Source organism: Homo sapiens, chromosome 7 (assembly GCF_000001405.40).
Source record: "Homo sapiens chromosome 7, GRCh38.p14 Primary Assembly".
Classification (NCBI taxonomy): Eukaryota; Metazoa; Chordata; class Mammalia; order Primates; family Hominidae; genus Homo; species Homo sapiens.
Genome location: NC_000007.14, coordinates 129,938,371 through 129,962,798, shown reverse-complemented (window position 1 = coordinate 129,962,798; position 24,428 = coordinate 129,938,371). Strand labels below are relative to the sequence as shown.

Sequence of the window (24,428 nt, the reverse complement as noted above, 5' to 3'; positions counted from 1 at the left end):
CCTGAGGTCAGGAGTTCATAGACCAGCCTGGCCAACATGGCAAAACCCCGTCTCTACTGAAAATACAAAAATTAGCCAGGCATGGTGGCAGGTGCCTGTAATCCCAGCTATTTGGAAGGGTGAGACATGAGAATCACTTGAACCTGGGAGAGGGAGGTTGCAGTGAGTGGAGATTGTGCCATTGCACTCCACCCTGGTTGACAGAGTGAGACTCTGTCTCAAAAATCAATCAATAAATAAGCTGGGTACAGCGGCTCATGTCTATAATTCCAGCACTTTGGGAGTCTGAGGTAGGAGGGTAACCTGAGCCCAGGAGTTCAAGACCAGCCTGGGCAGCATAGCGAGACCCTATGTCTACCAAAAAAAAAAAAAAGTCAGCCAGGTATGGTGGCACACAGCTGTAGTCCCAGCTACTTGGGGGCCTGAGGTGGGAGGATCACTTGAGCCTGGGAGTTTGAGGCTGTGTGAGGCATAATAGCACCAAGACACTCTAGCCTGGACGACAGAGCAAGGCCCTATCTCTAAATAATTAAATACTAAGGTGCTCAGGGAAGGCTCTACTGAGAAGGTGACATTTCAGCAAAGACTCAAAGGACATTAGGGAGCAGGCCATATGCTTATCTAGGGGAAGAATATTTTAGGCTGAGAAAGTAGCAAAGTGCAAAGGACCCCAGGCCGGGGCATGCTTGGTGTATATGAGGAACAGCAAGAAACCCAATGTGGGCTGGTCTGAGTGCAGTGTTTACAACTCTTGATTACAGATTTCTTTGTTCCTTCTCCATCCCCACTGCTTCACTTGACTAGTCTTAAAATATATATCTACATGTGAAAAAAGAAAAAATGAAAAAGACCAGTGTGGGTAGAAAGGAGTGAGTGACAGAATCGGATAGGGCAGCTCCTGTAGGGCTTTGAATGCCTGTGATGGCTTTGACTTTTACATGATGTCACGATGTGAACTGGGAAGCTCTTGGAGGGTTTTGAACAGTAGGGAGACAAGATTTGCTTTATAGTTAGGCTCACTGGCTTCTGAGTTGAATACAGGGTTTGAAGAAGTGAGGCCAACTGGGAAGTGATTATAGCAATCTATGTAAGAGATGATGGCTTGGTAGAGAAGGCAAGGAAAAGATTCTGGATATATTTTGACGGTAGGGCCAACAGGATTTCCTGATAATTGGATGAAGGGGCTAAAGAACAAGAAGGGTCGGGGACCGTAATTCAAGGCCCTTGGCCTGAGCAGCTAGAAGAATGTATTAGGTTGAACCAAATGAAATCACCAATATTTGATAGTTCTTAACCTTAAAAGGCAATTTCATATATTTCAACTTAATAGTTGTCATTGACTGAGATGGGGAAAAGTATGTGAGGAAGAGGTGAGGAGGTGGTATCAGAAATTTATTTTTGGACATGAGATGTCGCACAGGCAGCTATGTATATGCCTCTGAGTTCAGGGGTGTCTTAGTCTTTTTTCTGTTGCTATAACAGAATAACACAGAGCCCTCACAACCTAATCACCTCTTAAAAAAGAAAAGACAGCTGGGTGCAGTGGCTCACGCCTGTAATCCCAGCACTCTGGGAGGCCCAGGCAAGTGGATCACCTGAGGTCAAGAGTTTGAGACCAGCCTGACCAACATGGAGAAACCCAGTCTCTACTAAAAATACAAAATTAGCTGGGCGTGGTGGCACATGCCTGGAATCCCAGCTATTTGGGAGGCTGAGGCAGGAGAATCGCTTGAACCCAGGAGGCAGAGGTTTCTGTGAGCCGAGATCACGCCACTGCATTCCAGCCTGGGCAATAAGAGCAAAACTCCATCTCAAAAAATAAATGAATAGTCGCCGGGTGCGGTGGCTCATGCCTATAATCCCAGCCCTTTGGGAGGCTGAGGCGGGTGGATCACCTGAGGTTGGGAGTTCGAGACTAGCCTGACCAACATGGAAAAACCCCATCTCTACTAAAAATACAAAAGTAGCCGGGTGTGGTGGCACATTCCTGTGATCCCAGCTACTTGGGAGGCTGAGGCAGGAGAATCGCTTGAACCCAGGAGGCGGAGGTTGTGGTGAGCCGAGATCGCGCCATTGCACTCCAGCCTGGGCAACAAAAGCAAAACTCTGTCTCAAAAATAAATATATTAATTAATTAATTAATTAATTAAAAATAAAAGAGAAGCTAGGTGTGGTGGCTCACGCCTGCAATCCCAGCACTTTGGGAGGCCGAGGTGGGTGCATCACCTGAGGTCAGGAGTTTCAGACCAGCCTGGCCAACATGGTGAAACCTTGTTTCTACCAAAAATACGCAAAAAAATTAGCTGGGTATGGTGGCGGGTGTCTGTAATCCCAGCTACTTGAGAGGCTGAGGCAGGAGAATCGCTTTAACCTGGGAGGCAGAGGTTGCAGTGAGCCAAGATGGCACCATTGCACTCCAGCTTGGGCAACAAGAGCTAAACTCCGTCTCAAAAAAAAAGAAGAGGTGAGACCTTTAAGAGTCTGGGTGTTACTCTGTCACCCAGGATAGAGTGCAGTGACTCGCTTGATCATAGCTCGCTGCAGCCTCCAACTCCTGGGCTCAAGTGATCCTCCCACCTCAGCCTACCAAATAGCTGAGACTACCGGCATGCGCCACCACGCCTGGCTAATTTTTAAAACATTTTTATAGAGACAGGGGTCTCACTATGTTGCCCAGTCTGGTCTCAAACGATCCTTCTGCTTGGCCTTTCAAAGCACTGGGATTACAGGCATGAGCCACTGCACCTAGCCAATATTCCATCTCTAAATATCATCACATTGGCAAATTTCAACATGAGTTTTGGAGGGGACATTCAAACAATAACATGGGGGCAAGGGCCCATATCAGGAATGTACATTAGGGAGTCAAAGTATAGATGGCATATAAAGCTTTGAGGTTGGGTAAAGTCACTTAGGTATTAACTGTAGATAAAGAAGAGTAGATAGAGACGTGAGAACTGAGTCTGGGGCTTCCGGCATTTCCAGACCAGAGAGACGAGAAAGCAGCGAAGGCAAGGCAGGAGGCTGCAACTGACAACATGCGGGCTCCGAACAGGGGAGGTGGCCCAAGTGAGAGCTCTTTCAATGTAGGCATGAATAATTTCCAGCCTCACTTCCTCCTTGAAGCTCGGCATTGGGGAGTATGTGTGTGTGTGTGTGTGTGTCTGTGTGTGTGTGTGTGTGTGTGTACGGGGGACAGGATAATACTTTATAGATGACTAGCACATCAGAGGTTGCATCATCTCCTATTTGATCCTATTTGACCTAGGCAAAGGAAGTACAGGTGCTATCATCCTGTTTTATAGATGAGGAAACTGAGGCATAAAGGTTCAGTTACTTGCCCAAGTTATATCAATAACAGGTAAATCCTAGGCTGGAAGGGGTCTTCTTCCTCTAAGTCCCATGGGCTAACTGAATCATGCCACATGCTCCTGAAATCTGACTACTTCTCTGGGGACAAACTGTTACAAAGTTACATGTAGATAACTTGAAGCTTTTATTTCCACAGCAGCAAAGAAACTACTGACACGATTACCTTCTAGAAGGGCCTAGACCTGTGATCACAAACGCCAAGAATGCCAGCTCAAAATGAACCACTTTCCCAGTGAGAAGCAGTGAAATGGAATTGGGGGGCTTTCTGGGGGGGGATTTTCACACTTGGTGGGGACACGGATCAATTCACTTTGGTTCCAGAGCTGTTGGAGTTAACAGGTAACTTCAGAGACAGAGCAGCTTCTGGCCTGGGCTCTGCTACTCATTCCACCAAATAACCAGTTTCATCTTACTCCGTCTGAGTGTCTTGCTGAAAGCATTAGATTCTCTCCAAACTTGTTTTCTTGCCCTGGAGAAGCTGCTCCTGAGATCGGAGGCTTCGTGGGTCAAGCTTGGCCCTGCCCTGGGCAGAGATAAACAGGCCCTGAATACATTTCCCAGATTGCAACACTGGTGAGTCAGGCAGGGTCGGACAGCTGTTCCTCACAGGCACCCCCTGGCTATACCTGATAAGGAAGACCGTCACTCATTCCAGCACAGGGCACAGGGTGGCTGCGTGTGCACCACATATAAACAGACACTCCCAGCCTCAGTGTTGTCTTAGAGGAAATGACAGACATTCTGAATGGCAGAATACATTGGTGAGCTTAGCAAACTCACTTCTGCTCAAGGAGGGCTCCAGTTTCATAAGCCAAAATAAGTAAAACCAGGGCTGTCATTTGGCTGTGCTTTGGGACTGCTTTTTGAACCTACCTGGTCAAGGGTGGGCTCAGCTCTGGAAAGAAAAAGGAAGGATTAAAGTGGAGGGATGAGGAGGAGGTCAGAAGAGGGGAGGTGGGTTTATGAAGGAACAAATGGCAAAATGCCCAGAGAAAAAAGATGTCTTATAAAAACATGAACATACCTTCACCGCAAAGAGAGGGAATCAATGCCATGGCATCTTCAAAAACAGGAAAAAAGGCCAGCACAGTGGCTCATGCCATTAATCCCAACATTTTGGGAGGCGGAGGTGGGAGGATCACTTGCTTAAGCCCAGGAATTTAAGAGCAGTCTGGGCAACACAGTGAGACCCTGTCTCTACAAAAAATTAAAAATGAAAAAGTAGCCAAGTGTGGTGGCATAGCACATGTAGTACCAGCTACTCGGGAGGCTGGGGCAGGAGGATCACTTGAGTCTGGGAGGTTGAGGCTGCAGTGAGCTATGACTGCATTACTGCATTCCAGCCTGGGCGACAGAGCGAGACCTTGTCTCAAAAGAAAAAAAAAAGAAATGCTGGGCGCGGTGGCTCATGCCTGTAATCCCAGCACTTTGGGAGGCTGAGGCAGGCAGATTACCTAACGTCAGGAGTTAGAGAGCAGCCTGGCCAACATGGTGAAACCCTGTCTCTACTAAAAATACAAAAATTAGCCAGGCATGGTGGTGGCGCACCTGTAATCCCAGCTACTCAGGAGGCTGAAGCTGGAGAATTGCTTGAATCTAAGAGGCGGAGATTGCAGTGAGCGGAGATCATGCCATTGCACTCCAGCCTGTGTGACAACAGTGAATCTTCGTCTCAGAAAAGAAAAGAAAAGAAAAGAAAAAAAATCCCCCAAAAAATGAACAGACAGATCTTGAGACCAAAAAAAAAAAAAAAAAGAGAGTGGCTACTCCTTAAATGATATACATGAGCAAAAAATGGGGCAAATGGAGGATTGATATTAATAATTATATGGTAGTACCACCATCACATTATACCTTGTAATCAACACTTCACATTACCTTTATGAAAGCCATTTATAGTTTACAAGGAGTTTTTACATTAATCTTTTCCATTTACTGCATCAACACATTTGAGTGGGTAAGACATTGTGAGCTACATTTTACAGATGAGAAAACTGAGGCTCAAAGATACATGAAATTAACTGAGATTTAAAAGCTGGGAAGGGGTAGGTTTGTCTTAAGTAACCCAGACCTAGATACATAACTAAAGACACAATAACTTGGCTGGGCATGGTGGCTTATGCCTGTAATCCCAGCACTTTGGGAGGCTGAGGCAGGAGGATCATTTGAGGTGAGGAGTTCGAGACCAGCCTGATCAACATGGTGAAACCCCGTTTCTACTAAAAATACAAAAATTAGCTGGGCGTGGTGGCATGTGCCTGTAGTCCCAGCTACTAGGGAGGCTGAGGCAGAAGAATTGCTTGAACCCAGGAGGTGAAGGTTGCAGTGAGCTGAGATCGTGCCGCTGCACTCCAGCCTGAGCGACAGAGTGAGACTTTGTCTCAAAAATAAATAAATGAATAAAATAAAGACACAATTTTTTTTTTGAGACAGAGTCTTGCCGTCAGGGTGGAGTGCAATGGCGTGATCTCCACTCACTGCAACCTCCACCTCCCAGGTTCAAGTTGGGATTACAGGAGTGCATCACCATGCCTATTTTGTATTTTTAGTAGAGACGGGGTTTCACCATGTTGGCCAGGCTGGTCTTGAACTCCTGACGTCAGGTGATTTACCCACCTCGGCTTCCCAAAGTGCTGGGATTACAGGCGTGAGCCACCGTGCCCAGCCAAAAATAACCCTTCTTTGTTTTTTGAGATGGAGTCTTGCTTTGTCACCCAGGCTGGAGTGCAGTGGCGCGATCTCGGCTCACTGCAACCTCCGCCTCCCGGGTTCACGCCATTCTCCTGCCTCAGCCTCCCGAGTAGCTGGGACTACAGGCGGCTGCCACCACGCCTGGCTAATTTTTTTTTGTATTTTTAGTAGAGACTGGGTTTCACTGTGTTAGGCAGGATGGTCTCCATCTCCTGACCTCATGATCTGCCCGCCTTGGCCTTCCGAAGTGCTGGGATTACAGTCGTGAGCCACCACACCCGGCCTAAAAAAAAAAAACCCTTCTTTAGGATGATTCCTTTATTAAAAAAAATTTTTTTTTGTAGAGGTAGGGATCTTGCTATGTTGCCCAGCCTGGTCTCGAACTCCTGGCTTCAAGAGATCCTCCCATCTTGGCCTCCCAAAGTGCTGGGATTACAGGTATGAGCCACCATACCCAGCCGGATTCTTTTTCAGTGACTGCTCAGAGGGCTAACTAAATCTTCATTGCATTTTTAAGTAGAGCAGCCCGCATTCTCCAGTATCATCTGCAACTAATTTCTCTAAACAACCTTTTGATTATTTTTTGCCTAGTAAGCATTGGTGAAGAGTAAAGCACCAGGGAAAATTTCTAGGCTCTACTCCATGTCCTTGTTTCCGAAGTGTCCCTTCCTTAACCTGTTCTATCATAACCTAACCTGTTTCTGGACTCCACACTCTGGGTTCCAGAAACAACATCTTTGGGTCCTCTAAGCTTGCCACTGTTGCTCTCGGGTTGGGGGGAAACTTTGGAGGGCACTCAGACCTTCCCTTATTTGCATAGGACATTATGGGAGCAGTTAACTCACCTTGAGTAGTCAGACAGGTATTTTCAAAGTGGTGATGCCTGCTAGAATCTTAAAGTCAGTGGTTCTCCAACTTTGGCCTGATCAGAATCATCTGGGGAGCTTGTTAATGACTAGGATGTCCAAGCCCCACCCCAGAACTTCTGAGTCAGAATTCCCAGGGGTGGGGCCTGGCCATCTGTGAGCTTAACAAGCCCCCCAGGTGATTCTGAAGAACACCAAAGTTTGAGAACCAGTTATAGCACTGTCTTAGAGTTAATCAGGTGAAAGACAGTGGGAAGTCATTTTAGGAGAGGAGGTAGCAGTAACAGAAGTGCAGAGAGCCCAAGAGGAGACACTGTCAGGAAGACAAATCTCTGCTCTGTCTTTATCTCCCTTGAACAAAGTGGTCAAATAAAGGAGGTTATAGAAATCTCTTCGTTCAGGCCGGGTGCGGTGGCTCACGCCTGTAATCCCAGCACTTTGGGATGCCAAGGAGGGCGGATCACCTGAGGTCAGGAGTTCGAGACCAGCCTGGCCAACATGGTGAAACCCCGTCTCTATTTAAAATACAAAAATTGGCTGGGCATGGTGGTGGGCACCTGCAATCCCAGCTACTCTGAAGGCTGGGGCAGGAGAATTGCTTGAACCCGGGAGGCGGAGGTTGCAGTGAGCTGAGACCGGGCCATTGCACTCCAGCCTGGGGGACAAGAGCGAGACTTTGTCTGAAAAAAAAAAAAAAAGAAAGAAATGTCTTCGTTCAGACGTGTCCTCCTTCTCTGTGTGGTTTTCTATGCGCAATGCATTTATTTATTTTGAGATGGAGTCTCACTCTGTCACCCAGGCTGGAGTGCAATGGTGTGGTCTTGCTCACTGCAACCTCCGCCTCCCGGGTTCAAGTGATTCTCCCGCCTCAGCCTCCCGAGTAGCTGGGACTACAGGTTTGTGCCACCACAGCTGGCTAATTTTTGTATTTTTAGTAGAGACGGTGTTTCACTACGCTGGCCAGGCTGGTCTCAAACTCCTGACCTCGTGATCCGCCCCACCTCGGCCTCCCAAAGTGCTGGGATTACAGGCGTGAGCCACCGCACCCGGCCATGCAATTTATTTTTATTGTTTTTTAAAGCTAGTCAAGTGAAGCAGTGGGCGTGTAGAAGGAACAAAGAAATCTGTAACTGGTTGTGATCAATTAGTTTTAAACACCACTGCACCTGGACCAGCAGCTATGTACAATTTGAAAGAACAATACACTCCTTTCAGAAACAGCTAAAATAGCCCACCTTTTTCAGAACATAAAGAGAGGTTATCAAGGGCTGGGGGGGAAGGGGTTATTGTTTAATGTTTGGGATGGTGAACACGTTCTGGAAATGGGTAGTGTGATGGTTGCACGACATTGTGAATGTATTTAATCCTATTGAATTATACCTTTAAATATGGTTAAAATGTTAAATTTTATGTTACGTATGTTTTACAATTTAAAAAGCACAAGTTTTTTGAGGCATGAAATGATAGCTGCAAAAGATGTTCAATCTTAGCTCATTGCTGCTGCCCCAGGTGTGTGTGCATAGGAGATTATGTAAGGAAGGCTCAACTCACAACACATGGTCTGACAAAGTACAAGTGTATATTCATGGGAATGAGGGAAAAGATAAAACTTTTGAAAAGGTAGTGAAAATATGACATAAATATAGGCGATGCCTGGAACACTCTTCACTGGCCCCTTTGCCTGGTTGACTCCTGAGTTCCATATCACTTCTTTTGGAGGACCTTATAGGGCAGTATTTTTCCAGACTTCACTGTGCATAAGAATCACCTGGGGACCTTGTTAAAACTGCAAATTCTCATTCAGTAGATCTGAAGTGAAGCTCTAGCGGCATTTCTAACAAGTTCCCAGGCGATGCTGATACTATAGATCCACAGGCTATACTAGGGGGCTGCGTAAATTTAGTCTTTCTTTATCTTTTGGAAACAGATCTTGCTCTGTTGCCTAGGCTGGAGTGCAGTGGCATGATCTTGGCTCATTGCGACCTCTGCCTCCCGGGTTCAAGCGATTCTCCTGCCTCAGCCTCGCGAGTAGTTGGGACTACAGGCGCCCGCCACCACGCCTGGTTAATTTTTGTATTTTTAGTAGAGACGGGGTTTCACCATATTGGCCAGACTGGTCTGGAACTCCCGACCTCAGGTGATCCACCAGCCTCGGCCTCCCAAAGTGCTGGGATTACAGGCGTGAGCCACCGTGCCCGGCTAAATTTAGTCTTTCTTAGTTCACCATTATATCCCTCATGTCCAGCAAGGTGATTAGCACGTAGGAGGTGCTAAATAAATATTTATTGGATGAATGAAGTATTTAAGGTTGGTGTAGGAGGTTCACACACTTTGCGAAGTTGCCTCATGCTCTGTAGAATAAGGATATTAATACTAAATTATTTCTGACCTTACCACCTTGCTGCGTCAACTCTAATCTTTGAAATAGTGGCCGTAGACACTGCATACCCTGGTATGCAAGCCTGAGGAAGCCTTGCTGTGGTCTACAATCCTTGGAAACAAATTCTCTCCAGCCAACGAGGAAGCGGAGTGCAAGGAACCTGCTGGTGTGGGGATTTCCAGATTTTGGTGCCTGAGTAATTGCTACCTTGGCCTCCTCCAAATCAAAGAAATTAACAGCTTGTTAAACAGAGTGTTAAGGGAGGTTCATTACCCTTAAATCCACGAATGTAATAATATTGCCATTATTTACTCTTATCGTTTAGGATGATGATAACGACAGTGGCAGTTGAGGGATGAAGTAGGTGGGGAAGTTGGGGGAGGGGACAGAGGGTGTGAGACAGCCGGAGAAAGAGGAACTACAACTCCCAGAACTCCCCGGGAAAGCCCACGCCGCGGCGGCGCCCCACCCCTCTCAGCGACCAGACCCGCCCCTCCGATGACGTCACAGAGGTGACGTCACGGCGCCCAGAGCGAGGCTGGGGTAGGGAGGCCGACTGAGCAGGAGTCGTCCGCTTATAGTGGAGGCTGCTAGGAGCCGGTCAGAGGGTGAGTGGGGAGCAGGCGAGCGAGCCACAGCAGGCAGGAGGGAGCGTCGCGCGGCGCAGAGGAGCGCCGGGGCAGGGCCGCGGCGGAACCACAGCCGGAGAGGGGCAGCCCGAGCCGGGCGCCGCAGGGTCCCCACCCCCACCCGGCCGGACAGTGCCCGGTGTTCCCCCGTGCGGGGGGCGGCGGCGGCGGCTGACGGGACCGCCGGGACCGCGGGGGTGTTGCCACCTCCACCGAGGAGCCGGCGCGGCCGCGGGCTCCTCAGAGCCGGGGCCCCGGGCCCGTGACAGACGGGCCGAGGAAGGGAGAGAGGCGGCGGCGACACCATGTCATCTCCCAGTCCGGGCAAGAGGCGGATGGACACGGACGTGGTCAAGCTGTATCCTTCGTGGAGGGGAATTCGGGCTGTGTGTGGGGGGCGGTGTGGGGATGCCCAGGGCACCCCCGGAACCACTGCAAGGGCCCTGGGGCACTCCAGGCCACTGTCCGAGACTCCCCTCCTCCCCCAGTGCCTACGGCGGCTCCTTGGCACCTCCCAGGGGCCGAGAGCCTTTTCAGCTCGCCTTTTCTCCGCAGCACCCCGAAATACGCGTTGCTGCTCGCTCTTCCTGTATCCCCAGAGCCTGTGACTTTCCTCCGCGACGTTTGGACTCCCGAGACGGCCTTTTTTCTTTTTGCACGACCAGTCGCCTCACTCTCTACCACCGAGCCCATTTTCAGGGTTTCTCTCTCCTGTTTGCTCGCTTTGGATTTAGGGAATCAAGGCAGAAATTCCCGAGAGGGAAGCCTTTCTCCGTTTCTTGAGATGCCCCCATTTCCTCCAACCACAATGCTGCTTGAACTGGGGTCACTCAAGCGACCTCTTTTATCCCTAATTCCTTTCTATATTAGGAAGAGAGTCTCCTGCTCAGGGCCCCCTCTTCTAAGAAAGAGCTCTGTGTGTTTTCAGTCAGTCCCTCCTGTTAAGCTTTCTGGTCCCCGGGAGAACCCTACTGTTTTCCTTTCCACTGACAAAGCCTGTCCCACCCATAGTTGTATGTGATGAAGACCCCCGGGCCCTCCAGCAAGCCACCCTCCATATTGTGGGTATGACAGCTGGGGAAAGAGGAGCTCCTGGACAAAATAAATAGTCCCTGGACTGGCCACTTGGGCAAAACTTCCTCTGTGAGGGTCAGGTTCTTGGGGGAATACTTGCCCTGATGTCGCCAAGTGACACCCTTTATTTTCTGCCCCCTCCCCCCAACTTTATGCACTCTGGAGGTTGCAGTGGGAAAGCTATAACTGATAAGAGCCCTTCAGGCAGTGGTTTTGGTTGGAGTCCAGACTGATTATTTCAGGACCAGCTAGAGAAATTCGCGAAGGTTCCTGTGACAAATCGAGAATTTTTTTTTTTTGAAGGGTAGTTTAGAGGGTAGGGGGAGCCCAGAGTTCTGAACAGCTAGTCCTTGGGGAGGGGGGCAAGTGGGGGCTTAGAGGGTGGTAGTGTGGAACACAGTTTAAAAGTCCTGTCTCCTGTTTCTCTCCCTCCTCCCCATCCCCCCACCGTTTCCCCCTGTTGCAGGGTTTTGTTTATATAACTCAAGTTGTTTGGCTAAATTCTTCAGGTGAATACCTTTTTTCTTCCTTTTATTTGTTGCTGTTTTTGATTGAGTGTTTTACCTCTTTGTAGAGATCAGTGGTTATTGTCAAAAAATTCAGTTAGGGAATTTGCTGAAGTTTTAAAAAAGTAGTTTTTGCATATGGTTTGGCAGTGGGGGATGGGAGGGAAGTTGTCTGGGCAAGAGATTTTTAAAAAATAATCTTTTCAGAAATAAGGTGTTTTTCTCCTTGCTCAGGGAAAACTTGGTTAGAAATTAGGAGCAGTAGATAGACTTCTAAGTTTGTGGTTTGGAGTTTAGAATTTTTGGGGGAGTGGGAGATTAGAGCGGAGCAACTAATAAAGTATAGTGTACCCAATATATGTTCAGGCGCAAGTGAAATCAACTCTTTATGAGCTGTTTGTGGCTGTGATTGTTTTGTAAATGTGTGAATGATACCAGTAATGTTGGCTTTTCATAAGGCTGCAGGAAAACTTGTAACTATGACTGTGTGTACATTTTACACAAAGCAGTTTCGGGTTTTATTTTTGTTTAGAAACTAGGAAATGACATAGTGGCAGCATCTGAGTTATTTTTATCTTGAATTGAGAGTTACTGTCACACCTAATGCGAATTTCTACCTAATGTTTAATTGGGATGGAGTGGGGAGACAATTCCAGCTGTTTGTGATCGTTGTCAGAGTCTCAAATTATGTACATAGACATATTTTTAAAAGATTGAGGATAAAGAGGGGGGCCTAACTTGACCTGATGCCTTTTCCATACAGTGCCTTTTGTTCATTTAGTAGTTGTGGCATCTAGAATGATTACCGCATTTAGGAGTCGGGGTGTGGGGGGTGGAGAGGGAGAGGAAAACAGACAAAGAACAGCAGGGTGTCTTTTTTTTCTCCCCCTAAGTGGCTTATTTCATAGCTTATTTTTAGTAGAAGATGAAGAAAGGCAAAGATGCATTGGCCTTCTGTTCTTTCCCCACCTTCCTTCCTTTCTGACAAAAGAAAGCAGAGGCGCTTTAAAATTGTAGATCTGAGATAGGAGGATAACAGTTTCGAGATTTAAAAGCCAGAGGTTATCTTTGTTTCGTGTTTATTTTCTGGTATAATGGAGTTTGGAAGTTAAAATGTTTCGGATTTCCTTTTGTGTGTGTTGTGTAGGTGAGAGATTTTGTGTCCTCCTTTCTCTGTTGAATTCACAGATCAGTAGGCCCAAATGGAGCCAACAATTTTTGAGTAAGGTATATTTAGCAGAAAATTTAAGGAAAAATTCCCCAGCCCTCTACTAAAATGAGTACAATTGTGTGAAAAGGCTGGGGGTTGAGAAAGATGGTGGAGAGGAAGTAGGAAGAAAAGGTCTGAAGGAATGCACTTCTTGCCCCCCATGCCCCTTGATGATTTCTTTGGTGTGGGGGGCGATAGCTGGTTTCCTTGCAGTCTCCTGTTTCAGCCCATTTTTGGATGTCTCCTGAGCGTAATTATACCACCACGATTTACAGCCTGGCAGGGAACCTATATAGTAGGAAAGTAGCAGTGTGGGGGTAGGGAGAGAAGAGGATGTGTAACTAATTGGCCGCTGCCTTCCACCACCTCGCTCGGTTCTTTTGGAGACACCGTCTCTGGTTGTTGTTTGGAGTCAGTGATATTTCTTTTGTGACGGGTTGGTAGGAGAGCTGACTCCCAAGTTATGCAGGGAGTGAGTGTTTTGCACCAATGCACTTAATAATCTGCTGGGTGATTATGTTCTGAAACTCTGACTCATTCATTGTTTCTCTTCTGATCCTTTGCTAAGGGTTGTGCAAACCTCCCCAGGAGCCTAGAAACTGATTTACATGACTTTTGGATCCTTTAGGAATGTGTCCCAGTAAAAAAACCTTGCAGTTAGCCCAGATCCTATGGAATAGTCTCGAATAGTGCGGCCATTTGTTTGCAAAGTCAGGTAGATTGGTGATCTGTGCTGCCCAGAGCCTGGCAACCTTTGAGGTTTCCACCTCCAACCAGCTGATTATTTAGATTGTCTGAGAGCTGGGGCTCTGGTGACCTTAAAGCGTGATTTGCCCTAAAGGAATATCGGTTTAAGTTCTCCCTGGTGGAGGAACAAACAGCTCAGATTACACGGGTTTCCTTGTTGGTGGGGGTTACTCGTCTCACCCTGTTGCACAGCCCTGGTGATCCTTTCATCTGTGAACCAGTGGCCCCTGCTGAAGGCTAGAGCTGCTTGTTTTGGAAAAGCGTATGCAGGCAAAAGGCCGCAGGCACCGCTCCTCAGCGCTCATTGGCCGCCCTGTTACTACCCGGAAAAGGAGGAGGGGAGGAGCTACCAAACAGCTGATGGAGTATGTGACAAGAGAGTGTGTTTATATACAAAAGAGGTGGGGGCTGGGGAGGCCCTCTGAGTGGTGTTACAGGAACAAGTGTGTTTTCGAGGGGTAAAAAGAGAAGAGGAAAACCTGACCTGTTAGAGTACAAGAAATGTTTAGAAAAATTAAGGTTAAATCAGAAAAGTAGATCGGATAATAATGGGGACCGGCATACACCATATGTACAATTTTGTAACTTACAATACCAAGAGTTTTCAATGATTCTTCTTTTCAGAGGGAGTTCAGTAATAGGATCCCCCCCTTATTTATTTTTACATTTTTTGTAGAGACCGAGGTCTGACTAGGTTACCAGGCTGGCCTCCCAACTCCTGGCCTCAAATCTTCCTCCTGCCTTGGCCTCCCAGAGTGCTGGAATTACAGGTGTGAGCCCAGTGCACCTGGCCCAGGGCATGCCACTTTAAATGCACTTAACTGACTCATTTGCAGGGATTCCAAAGTATGGCAGAAATGTCAGCTTCCCTTAAGAAAGCGTCAAGTGTGATAGAAAGGGACGGTGTCTTACATTAAAACGGCCTGAGTTAATTTTACAGAATCGTTGGTGTCTGCTTTAGGGTTTCAGAAGCTTTCTCTAACAAATTCAAAACCTCAGATGTGGCCAAGTGTGGTGGCTCACACCTGTAATCCCAGCATTTTGGGAGGCTGAGGCGGGAGGATCACCTAAGTGTAGGAGTTTGAGGGTCCAGTGAGCTAAGATCATGCCACTGCACTCATGCCTGGGCAACAGAGCAAGACTCTCTTAATTAAAAAAAAAAAAAAGCTGGCACAGTGGCTTATGCCTGTAATCCCAGCACTTTGGGAGGCCAAGGCGGGCAGATCACCTGAGGTCAGGAGTTCGGGACAAGCCTGGCCAACATGGCAAAACCCCGTATGTACTTGTACTAAAAATATAAAAAATTAGCCAGGCGTGATGGTGCGGGCTTGTAGTCCCAGCTACTTGGGAGGCTGAGTCACGAGAATAGCTTGAACCCATGAGGCGGAGGTTGTGGTGAGCCTAAATTACACCATTGCACTCCAGCCTGGACGACAGAGCAAGACTCTTATCTCAAAAAAAAAAAATCCTCATATGTTTGGGTACTTGCTTTGTGCCAGCATTGTGCTGGGAGTTTAGTAGTGAAAAATTCAGTATGGGTGGTCATGGTGCTTATGCAATTAGTTAAAACTTTTTTAGTCGGAAAGGACAGGCTGTGTTAGGTCATTGCTGTGTGTAGTGCCTTTTTGAGTAACTTGTATTTACTTAGAGTGGACTTTTCAAGGAATAGAAAGGTTAAAATGAATTTTGTGTGCTAGGATGTATATGGGGATCTGTACACCTGTTTAAAAAAATTTCAAAACTAAAATATTAAAATATGTAGCCATTTGTCTTTGACTTAACTTTGGTATTTTGCTGTTAATCAGTAGTTACTCTATCCCTAAGTTAGTAGTCTTTGTTACTCTTTAATTTGTGTTCAAAGGGTAGACAGTTCCCTAAATCTTTTAACTAGTTCTAGTGTCAATTGGGAACCTGTGGTTTGCCTCTTTATTTCCAGTGGACTCTGTTTTAGTGAGATGATGAGATGAAAGTTGGCACAGCTTTATGGTCTTCAAGCTAAAAGTTAAAGATTTGGCAACTCTCAGTGTTCTGAATTTGTCTTCCCTGCCTAGATTTTGGTGACAAATATAACATACTGGTACTTATTTTGGTTAGGCAGGAACCTACATGAGTAAGCATTCACAGCTTCAGAACATCTGATTCCTGCAGTGCAGTTCTAGTAAATTACACGCAAGCCTAAAAATTCAGCTTTTTGGGAAAAAATGTTTCGCAGATGTGACCCATAAACGTCCCTCCTGTATTTGTGTATGTATGTTAGAACAACCTAAGTTTGTTGGTTTTCTAGTGTTGCAATTTTCTTAGCCCCTTGACCTGCATTTTATAGATATATTTAAACATTGGTATTCTTTTCAGTCTTAACAGATTTGATGGTTCCAAGAATCATTGGATTTTTAGGCATGTAATCCAGACCTTACATTACGTTATAATGTTTGCAACGTAATAGCTTTTTACCTGTAGACCTACAGAGTGTACCTGTTAGTAAAATACTTAAAAGAACTTAGTTGGATTTCAAAAGTAAAAAGATAATTGAGAAAAACATAGGTTACAAGAAGGAAAACCAGTCACCTGTAATCCTAGTTCTTTAAACAGTAGTTCTCAAACTTTAGTTTGAGATTGCACCACTGCACTCCAGCCCGGGGGACAGAGCAAGATTCCATCTCAAAAAACAAAAAACAAATAATCACCTGGAGAGTTTGTTAAAACAGGTTACTGCATACCACTCCTGGAGTTTTCTAATTCATTGGGTCTAGGGTGGGGTCTAAGAAGTTCGCAGATGATGCTTCTGGTCCAGGACCACTGTTTAAGAACTGTTGGCCTTAAATGTTAACCTTATGGCTTTTTTCCTATATCTTTTATTCTCCCCAGGATGTATTGTTTTCAACCTGTTGATCATACTGTATGTGTCTGCCCTGTTTTTGCTTAATATTTTTGCAACTGTTTTTCCCAGTTAAAAATAATGACTAGGGGCCGGGCGCGGTGGCTCACGCCTGTAATCCCAACACTTTGGGAGGTTGAGGCAGACAAATCATGAGGTCAGGAGATTGAGACCATCCTGGCTAACATGGTAAAAACCCATCTCTACTAAAAATACAAAAAAAAAAAAATTAGCCGGGCGTGGTGGCGGGCGCCTGTAGTCCCAGCTACTCAGGAGGCTGAGGCAGGAGAATGGTGTGAACCCGGGAGGCGGAGCTTGCAGTGAGCAGAGATAGCGCCACTGTGCTCCAGCCTGGGCCACAGAGTGAGACTTCGTCTCAAAAAAAAAAAAATAATAATGACTAGGCTGGGCACAGTGGCTCATGCCTATACATCCAGCACTTTGGGAGGCTGAGGTGGGCAGATCACCTGAGGTCAGGAGTTTGAGACCTGCTTGACTAACGTGAAGAAACCCCATCTCTACTAAAAAATACAAAATTAGCTGGGCGTGGTGGCGCATGCCTGTAATCCCAGCTACTTGGGAGGTTGAGGCAGGAGAATCAATTCGCTTGAACCTGGGAGGTGGAGGTTGCGGTGAGCTGAGATTGCGCCATTGCACTCCAGCCTAGGCAACAAGAGCGAAACTCAGTCTCAAAAAAAAAAAAAGTAGCTCATGTAATATGCCATCCCATGGCTGTGCCATTGATTTAATTCTTTGCCATTTTTCTCTGATGAATAAGATTGAAATTAACATCTTTGTGCATAGGCTTTTCTTTGGGTTATTTCTGTTTTCCCGAAATGGGATTCTAGATCAAAGAAGGTAAACATTTGAATTAAAATATTTAATTAAAAATCTCAGAGCCCTACACTCAGCGGGCTCTTGTTTTGTTGTGTTGTGTTTTAGTTGGTATCGTTTTGGCACTGAAATAGCCTGGCATAGTGATTAAAGATGAATTCTAATTTCCTCATTGTTTAAACTTTGATGTTTTTTGTGATAATGGTGATCCTCAATTTAGGCATAATTTTGTATTCTCAGAGTGCATACTGCAAGTCGGTAGGTTAAATATATTTATGAGCAGATAGATCTAACAGGAACTGTAGAATTAGTTTTGGCATCTTGGATTCTTTTTTGTTATTGAGGTATAATTGACATACAGTTAACTGTACATATTTAAAGTGATACTTTTGATAAGTTTTAATTTTATGTATCACCCATGAAGCTTATCCTTATCAAGAGAGGAGACATATTTATCTTCCCCCAAAGTTTCTTGTGGCCCTTTGTAATCTTTCCCTCCCTCCCTTCCAACCATTGATCTCATTTCTGTCACTGTAGATTATTTTACATTTTCTAGAATTGTATATATAAGCGGAATCATTCAGTACATACTCTTTTTGTGTGGGTTCTTTCACTTATAATTCTGAGATTCACCCATGTTATTTAGTTCATTTTTTTTTTATTGCTGAGTAGTATTCTATTATGTGGATATACCACAATTTGTTTATGCATTCACCTCTTAATGCTTGGTGGCATTTGGGTTATTTCCAGTTTTGGGCTATTACCAGTAAAGTTGCTATGAACATTGTATGGATATACGCTTTTTTTTCTCTTGGCTAAGCTAGATCATGTGGTAGGGTTTGCGCATGCGCGTGCGTGCGTGCGTGTGTGTGTGTGTGTGTGTGTGTGTGTGTGTGTGTTTTGAGCGCATGCGCACGTGTGTGTTTTGAGACAGGATTTCACTCTGTTGCCCAGATGAGAGTTCATGGTGTGATCTCAGCTCACTGCAGTCGTGGCCACTTGCCTGGCTAATTTTATTTTTTTTGTAGAGATGAGGTCTCACTGTTGGCCAGGCTGGTCTCAAATTCCTGGGCTTAAGTGATCCTCTGGCCTTGGCCTCCCAAAGTGCTGGGATTACAGATGTAAGCCGCTGTGCCCAGCCATGTTTAACACGTAGTTTGAATTTAATGTTTACTGATGATGGTCCATATTTCACACCCAAATAAAATTGTGACAACGGTTGTTTCACTTGTGTGTTTTGTTTTGTTTTGTTTTGTTTTGAGACGGAGTCTTCGCTCTGTCGCCCAGGCTGAGTGTAGTGGCGCGATCTCGGCTCACTGCCAGCTCCGCCTCCTGGGTTCACGCCATTCTCCTGCCTCGGCCTCCTGAGTAGCTGGAACTACAGGCACCCGCCACCAAGCCTGGCTAATTTTTTGTATTTTTAGTAGCGACAGGGTTTCACCATGTTAGCGAGGATGGTCTTGATCTCCTGACCTCATGATCTGCCCACCGTGGCCTCCCAAAGTGCTGGGATTACAGGCATGAGCCACAGCGCCTGGCCTCACTTGTGTATTTTAAAGGAATCATGTTAAATTACATGCTCTTAAAGCACTGATTTATTTTTTATTATTAACCTTATTTTATAGTATATGAATTTTGTTAATTTTTTTATCAATAAAACAAATTTTACCACAATGATTGTGATACCTTTCACTTGAATAATGATTTAAACACTTTATCTTCCTTTTTTAAAGACAGAATCAGTCTCGCTCTGTCGCCCAGACTGGCTCTCTGCAACCTCTGCCTCCTGAGTTCAAGCGATTCTCCTGCCTCACCCTCCCGAGTAGCTGGGATTACAGGGGCCTGCCACCACACCCAGCTAATTTTTGTATTTTTAGTTAGAGACAGGGTTTTGCCATGTTGGCCAGGTTGGTCTTGAACTCTTGACCTCAGGTGATCCGCCTGCCTCTGCCTCTCAAGTACTGGGATTACAGGTGTGAGCCACGATGCCTGGCCAATCTGGTTTTTTGTTTGTTTTTGTGTTTGTGTTTTTAGACGGAGTCTGGCTGTGTTGCCCAGGCTAGAGTGCAGTGGTGCGATTTCAACTCACTGCAACCTCTGCCTCCCGGCGCTTGGCCTAAAGCATTGATTTCTAGCTGAATTTGGTTAAAGCTGATTTGGTAGCTACTCTTCTCTCCCCACCCCCATTTGAAATTAGTAAATTAAATTTTTATTGTGAAATATTTTTGTTAGCCTGAGCTACATGGCAAAAGCCTATTTCTACCAAAACAGATAAAAAATTAGCCAGGTATGGTGGCATGCACTTGTAATCCCAGCTACTCTGGGGGCTGAGGCAGAAGGATCACTTAAGCCCAGGAGGCAGAGGTTGTGGTGAGTTAAGATCATGCCACTGCAGTCCAGCCTGGGTGACAGGGCAAGGCCCTGTCTAAAAAAAATGTTTTGTGGCCCTTTGAAATTACACTTTAGGAATCTGGCCGGCCATAGTGGCTCATGCCTGTAATCCTGGCACTTTGGGAGGCTGAGGTGGGCAGATCACCTGAGGTCAAGAGTTCAAGACCAACCTGGCCAACATGGCGAAACCCCATCTCTACTAAAAATGCAAAAACTAGCTGGGTGTGGTGGTGCACACCTGTAATCCCAGCTACTCAGGAGGCTGAGGCAGGAGAATTGCTTGAACCTGGGAGTCGGAGGTTGTGGTGAGCCGAGATTATGCCACTGCACTCCAACCCCGGGGAACAGAGCAAGACTCCATCTCAAAAAACAAAAAAAAAAACACATTACACTTTAGGATCATAGTCACAAACAGCAATTTTATTTTTATATTTGCTAGTAAGGCTCTATATCTTTGTGAATAGGTAAGCACACTTTTTGTTGATGGTATTATTTTCTTTGTAAAGTATTGATAAGATTTTTTTTAACATTTCTTTAGCATTTCTAGTGAAGTTTACAGCAGTTGATAAATATTTCTGGAGCACTCTGTTGAAGTCTGAATAATATCTTCAATTTTCACATGGAATAAACTCAGGTGAAAGGAACTAACAGCAGCTCAGTGACAGAATGGGAAACAGACTATAAGAGTTAGGATATCCTTTGATATCATGCTTTCCTGGAATTTTTGTGTGTGTGAGAGACGGAGTTTCACTCTTGTTGCCCAGGCTGGAGTGCAATGGCATGATCTCGGCTCACTGCGACCTCTGCCTCCCAGGTTCAAGCGATTCTCCTGCCTCAGCCTCCTGAGTAGCTGGGATTACAGGCATGTGCCACCACGCCTGGCTAATTTTTTATTTTTAGTAGAGAGGTGATCCCCCTGCCTTGGCCTCCCAGAGTGCTGGGATTACAGGTGTGAGCCACCGCGCCCAGCCTGGAATTTTTTGAAGCTTTTTTTTTTTTTTTTTTTTTTTTGAGACCGAGTCTCACACTGTCACCTAGGCTGGAGTGCAGTGGTGTGATCACAGCTCACTGCAGCCTCGAACTTCCGGATTCTGAACTCAATCCTCCTGCTTCAGCCTCCCGAGTAGCTGGGACTACAGGCGTGTGCCACCACACCTGGCTTACTTTTGTATTTTTCGTAGAAACAGGGTTGCGCCATGTTGGCCAAACTGGTCTCCAACTCCTGGGCTCAAGCGGTCTGGCTGCCTTGGCCTCCCAAAGTGTTGGGATTACAGGGGTAGCCACTGTGCCTGGCCTTAAGTTAATTTTTAGTGAAATGGTGCTTAAAATTTTTTTTTGGCATCTTAAGAGTTATTTGATAGGTTATTGGACACTGCCATAATAAAATTAGACATTGATTTGTAATAGTTGTTGTTACATTCTTTCTGATAAATTATAAACAATTTATCTTATGGACATTTACATGTGTGTTGCTAAAAAAAAATTAAAGCTGGATTCAGTGGCTCATGCTTGTAATCTCACCACTTTGGGAGGAGTGCTTGAGCTCAGGAGATTGAGGGTGCAGCAAGCCATCATTATGCCACTGCACTCCAGCCTGGACAACAGAGTGAGACCCTGTCTCAAAAAAAATTAATATTACTGACAGCTGGAACTTTTAGTTTGGCTAACAAAAAGGTGACCTGGCTTGTACCTGTTTTAGTTTGGAGCAATGATAGTATGTTTGGTGAGTAGACTGTTTTGGTATTCAGACACAGGAATGGTGCCCTGAGCATATAAATTCCAGTGTCTTGGCCAGACGCAGTGGCTCATGCCTGTAATCCTAGCACTTTGGGAGGCTGAGGTGGGCAGATTGCTTGAACTCGGGAGTTCGAGACCAACCAGCCTGGGCAACATAGTGAAACCCTGTCTCTACTAAAATACAAAAAATTAGCCGGGCATTGCTTGAACTCAGGAGTTCGAGACCAACCAGCCTGGGCAACATGGTGAAACCCTGTCTCTACTAAAATACAAAAAATTAGCCGGGCGTTGCTTGAACTCAGGAGTTCGAGACCAACCAGCCTGGGCAACATGGTGAAACCCTGTCTCTACTAAAATACAAAAAATTAGCCGGGCGTGGTGGCTTGCGCCTGTAGTCCCGGCTACTTGGGAGGCTGAGGCAGGAGAATTGCTTGAACCCGGGAGGTGGAGGTTGCAGTGAGCTGAGATGGTGCCATTGTACTACAGCCTGGGCAACAGACTGTGACTCCGTCTCCAAAAAAAAAGATTCCAGTTTGTTATTTTCTATGCTGAAGTGTAATTCGAGTGCATTGTAGAAACTTTTGAAAACACAGTAGTCTGTTGAGAGGCTGTTGTTGCATTAGTGATTCTCAATTGGGTATCACATTGGAGAAGAATTAAGCTTTTGGGGGCCCAGGTACTATGGTTATTGTAATTTCTTCTCTGTACCTCACCAGATGCTTGGGGAAGGTGTCTGGTTGTTTATAGGCTGGTGCTCAAGGGGGTATCTGCCCATGACCAGTAGAACCCAAATCCTCAAGAGCCTGGGGAAGCCCTACATGGCAGCCATATGCTTAAGAGGGAAGGAGGATCCTTTTTGCCTCTCCCTGCTTTGTAGGTATCTAGGACGTTATGTAGGCAGTGTGAATAGTTGCTGCTGATCTTCTGACCTGTCCCTGCAGAGAAGTCAGAGAGAGGAGTAGGTAGCCCTTGTGAAGGGAGAGGCTTGGCTGGACTTTGCCATTCTCTGGAAGACTTTGCCATTCTCTAGAAGATAGGCATGGTTGGCGGGTCTGTCAGTGGACTCAAAAAAGGCACCTGTTCTGTAGCACTTGGAGGATCCATATTTAGGATATCAATTAATTGAGAATGTAATCTTTGTCTTTGGTTCAATCTCCTGGTTTCTAACTTTTAAACCATTTTTAGGGAAGCATTATATGTGAAGGTAGGAGATACTCCCTACATACAAAATCATGTTATTAATGTTGTGAATTATGCATTTCCTTTTTAGTATTAGGCAACTTTTTTTCATATATCAAGTTATCATGTACACTTTTCAAGGTTTTTTGGATTATAAAATCTTAGTTGAGGTAATATAAATAGAAAACTAGATACAGAGTGCGTGTCTGGTTTGTGTTACCTCAGAAGCAATTGGGCTGTCACTTAGCCTAGCAAAAAGTAAATTTAGTTGTTTTGTCCAAAGGGTGCCAGTATAACTTTGGTAATCTGGATTTTGCTTTTCTTTCTTTCTTTCTTTCTTTTTTTTTTTGAGATGGAGTCTCATGTTGTCGCCCAGTCTGGAGTGCAGTGGCTCCATCTCGGCTCACTGCAATCTCCGCCTCTCAGGTTCAAGCGATTCTCCTGCCTCAGGCTCCCGAGTAGCTGGGATTACAGGCACGCGCCACCATGCCCGGCTAATTTTTTGTATCTTTAGTAGAGATGGGGTTTCACCATGTTGGCCAGGCTGGTCTCAAACTCCTGACCTCGTGATCCACCTGCTTTGGCCTCCCAAAGTGCTGGGATTACAGGCATGAGCCACCGTGCCCAGCCTGGATTTTGCTTTTCAATTTGATGACTATGTTGCATAGACAGTTGCTGATAAGTTGATTAATTTAAAAATTCAGAATTTGGTTGGACATTTCCATTGTAGCATTTGTATGTAGAAGGTTGATTGGTTAAAGTCATATCAGTAAGAGATCACCAAGAGTAATATATAGATGGATATAATGTTTTCATGGTCTTACTGCTGGATGTTTACTACCCTTTTGCTATTCTTGAATCTAAACCTGTAAATAAATTAGTGATTCTCCTTGGCAGCAAAGCTTGGAACTATATAACTCTTTTAATTGTATTCCGAAAGAAGGAAACTGGGTAACAAATGCTCACTTTCGCTGGTTGCAGTGGCTCATTCCTTCAGTCCCAGCTACTGGGAAGGCTGAAGCAGGAGGATTGCTTGAGTCCAAGGCTGTAGTGTACAATGACTGTGCCTGTGAATAGTCACTGCATTCTCCCACCTGAGCACTATAGTGAGACCCTGTCTCTAAAAATTAAAAAAACAGTCACTTTTATATGGCATTTGGTTCTCACAGCTGTGAATTGTACTTGATCAGATCATTAATTCAAACTAGAGGCCGGGCGTGGTGGCTCATGCCTGTAATCGTAGCACTTTGGGACGCCAAGGCGGATAGATCACCTGAGGTCAGGAGTTCGAGACCAGCCTGGCCAACATGGTGAAGCCCCATCTCTACTAAAAATACAAAAGTTAGTTGGGTGTGGTGGCAGGCGCCTGTAATCAAAGCTGCTCGGGAGGCTGAGGCAGGAGAATTGCTTGAACCTAGGAGGTGGAGGTTGCAGGGAGCCGAGATCGCATCACTGCACTCCAGCCTGGTGACAGACTGAGACTCTGTCTCAAAAAAAAACAAAAAAAACAAAAAAACAAAAACATCAAACTAAGCCTACAAGTACATAATCTTGTGAGGGGAATCTTGGACAGTTTGGGTCGGCTTTGTTTTTTTTTTTTTGAGACGAAGTTTTGCTCTTGGCGCCCAGGCTGGAGTGCAATGGCGTAATCTCGACTCACCACAACCTCCGCCTCCCGGGTTCAAACAATTCTCAGCCTATCGAGTAGCTGGGATTACAGGCATGTGCCACCATGCCCAGCTAATTTTGTATTTTTAGTAGAGACGGGTTTCTCCATATTGGTCAGGGTGGTTTTGAACTCCTGACCTCAGGTGATCCACCCGCCTCGGCCTTTCAAAGTGCTGGGATTGCAAGCATGAGCCAGCCTTTTTTTTTTTTTTTTTTTTTTTTTTTTGAATGAGGCAGTCTCTCTCTCTGTTGCCCACGCTGGAGTGCAG

General features: G+C 45.7%; 1 protein-coding gene and 1 long non-coding RNA gene across 5 annotated transcripts in view, besides 6 other annotated features; one reads left to right on the top strand and one right to left on the bottom strand.

The window, feature by feature from the left end:
- The window catches only part of UBE2H-DT (UBE2H divergent transcript), a 73,246-nt gene extending 63,514 nt beyond the window's left edge, over nucleotides 1-9,732 (bottom strand). Inside the window, exon 1 of the long non-coding RNA XR_007060520.1 lies at nucleotides 9,319-9,732. This is a non-coding gene — a long non-coding RNA (UBE2H divergent transcript). The remainder of the gene's footprint in view (nucleotides 1-9,318) is intronic.
- Nucleotides 9,733-9,838: 106 nt separating this feature from the next.
- Nucleotides 9,839-24,428, top strand: part of UBE2H (ubiquitin conjugating enzyme E2 H) — a 122,229-nt gene continuing 107,639 nt past the window's right edge. For 2 of the 4 annotated variants that reach the window (NM_182697.3, NM_003344.4), the window contains exon 1: nucleotides 9,839-10,296. In NM_182697.3, the coding sequence (NP_874356.1) occupies nucleotides 10,244-10,296 (53 nt within the window). In that variant the 5' untranslated portion in view covers nucleotides 9,839-10,243. Of the gene's footprint in view, nucleotides 10,297-10,338; nucleotides 11,279-11,478; nucleotides 11,522-24,428 lie in introns of those variants that run through there. The other 2 variants (XM_047420796.1, NM_001202498.2) reach the window with 2 other exon arrangements.
- Nucleotides 10,003-10,102: a silencer, noted in NCBI's record as "silent region_18640". NCBI's record gives its function as "represses an Ori minimal core promoter by ATAC-STARR-seq in GM12878 lymphoblastoid cells {active_cell/tissue: GM12878}" and the evidence as "EXISTENCE:reporter gene assay evidence [ECO:0000049][PMID:35858748]".
- Nucleotides 10,113-10,232: a silencer, noted in NCBI's record as "silent region_18639". NCBI's record gives its function as "represses an Ori minimal core promoter by ATAC-STARR-seq in GM12878 lymphoblastoid cells {active_cell/tissue: GM12878}" and the evidence as "EXISTENCE:reporter gene assay evidence [ECO:0000049][PMID:35858748]".
- Nucleotides 12,079-12,128: an enhancer, noted in NCBI's record as "active region_26637". NCBI's record gives its function as "activates an Ori minimal core promoter by ATAC-STARR-seq in GM12878 lymphoblastoid cells {active_cell/tissue: GM12878}" and the evidence as "EXISTENCE:reporter gene assay evidence [ECO:0000049][PMID:35858748]".
- Nucleotides 12,907-13,478: an enhancer, noted in NCBI's record as "OCT4-NANOG-H3K27ac-H3K4me1 hESC enhancer chr7:129589161-129589732 (GRCh37/hg19 assembly coordinates)". NCBI's record gives its function as "activates a minimal SCP1, AML or CMV promoter by ChIP-STARR-seq in naive H9 embryonic stem cells {active_cell/tissue: H9 hESC(naive)}" and the evidence as "EXISTENCE:reporter gene assay evidence [ECO:0000049][PMID:30033119]".
- Nucleotides 13,479-14,052: an enhancer, noted in NCBI's record as "OCT4-NANOG-H3K27ac hESC enhancer chr7:129588587-129589160 (GRCh37/hg19 assembly coordinates)". NCBI's record gives its function as "activates a minimal SCP1, AML or CMV promoter by ChIP-STARR-seq in naive H9 embryonic stem cells {active_cell/tissue: H9 hESC(naive)}" and the evidence as "EXISTENCE:reporter gene assay evidence [ECO:0000049][PMID:30033119]".
- Nucleotides 16,379-16,878: an enhancer, noted in NCBI's record as "H3K27ac hESC enhancer chr7:129585761-129586260 (GRCh37/hg19 assembly coordinates)". NCBI's record gives its function as "activates a minimal SCP1, AML or CMV promoter by ChIP-STARR-seq in naive H9 embryonic stem cells {active_cell/tissue: H9 hESC(naive)}" and the evidence as "EXISTENCE:reporter gene assay evidence [ECO:0000049][PMID:30033119]".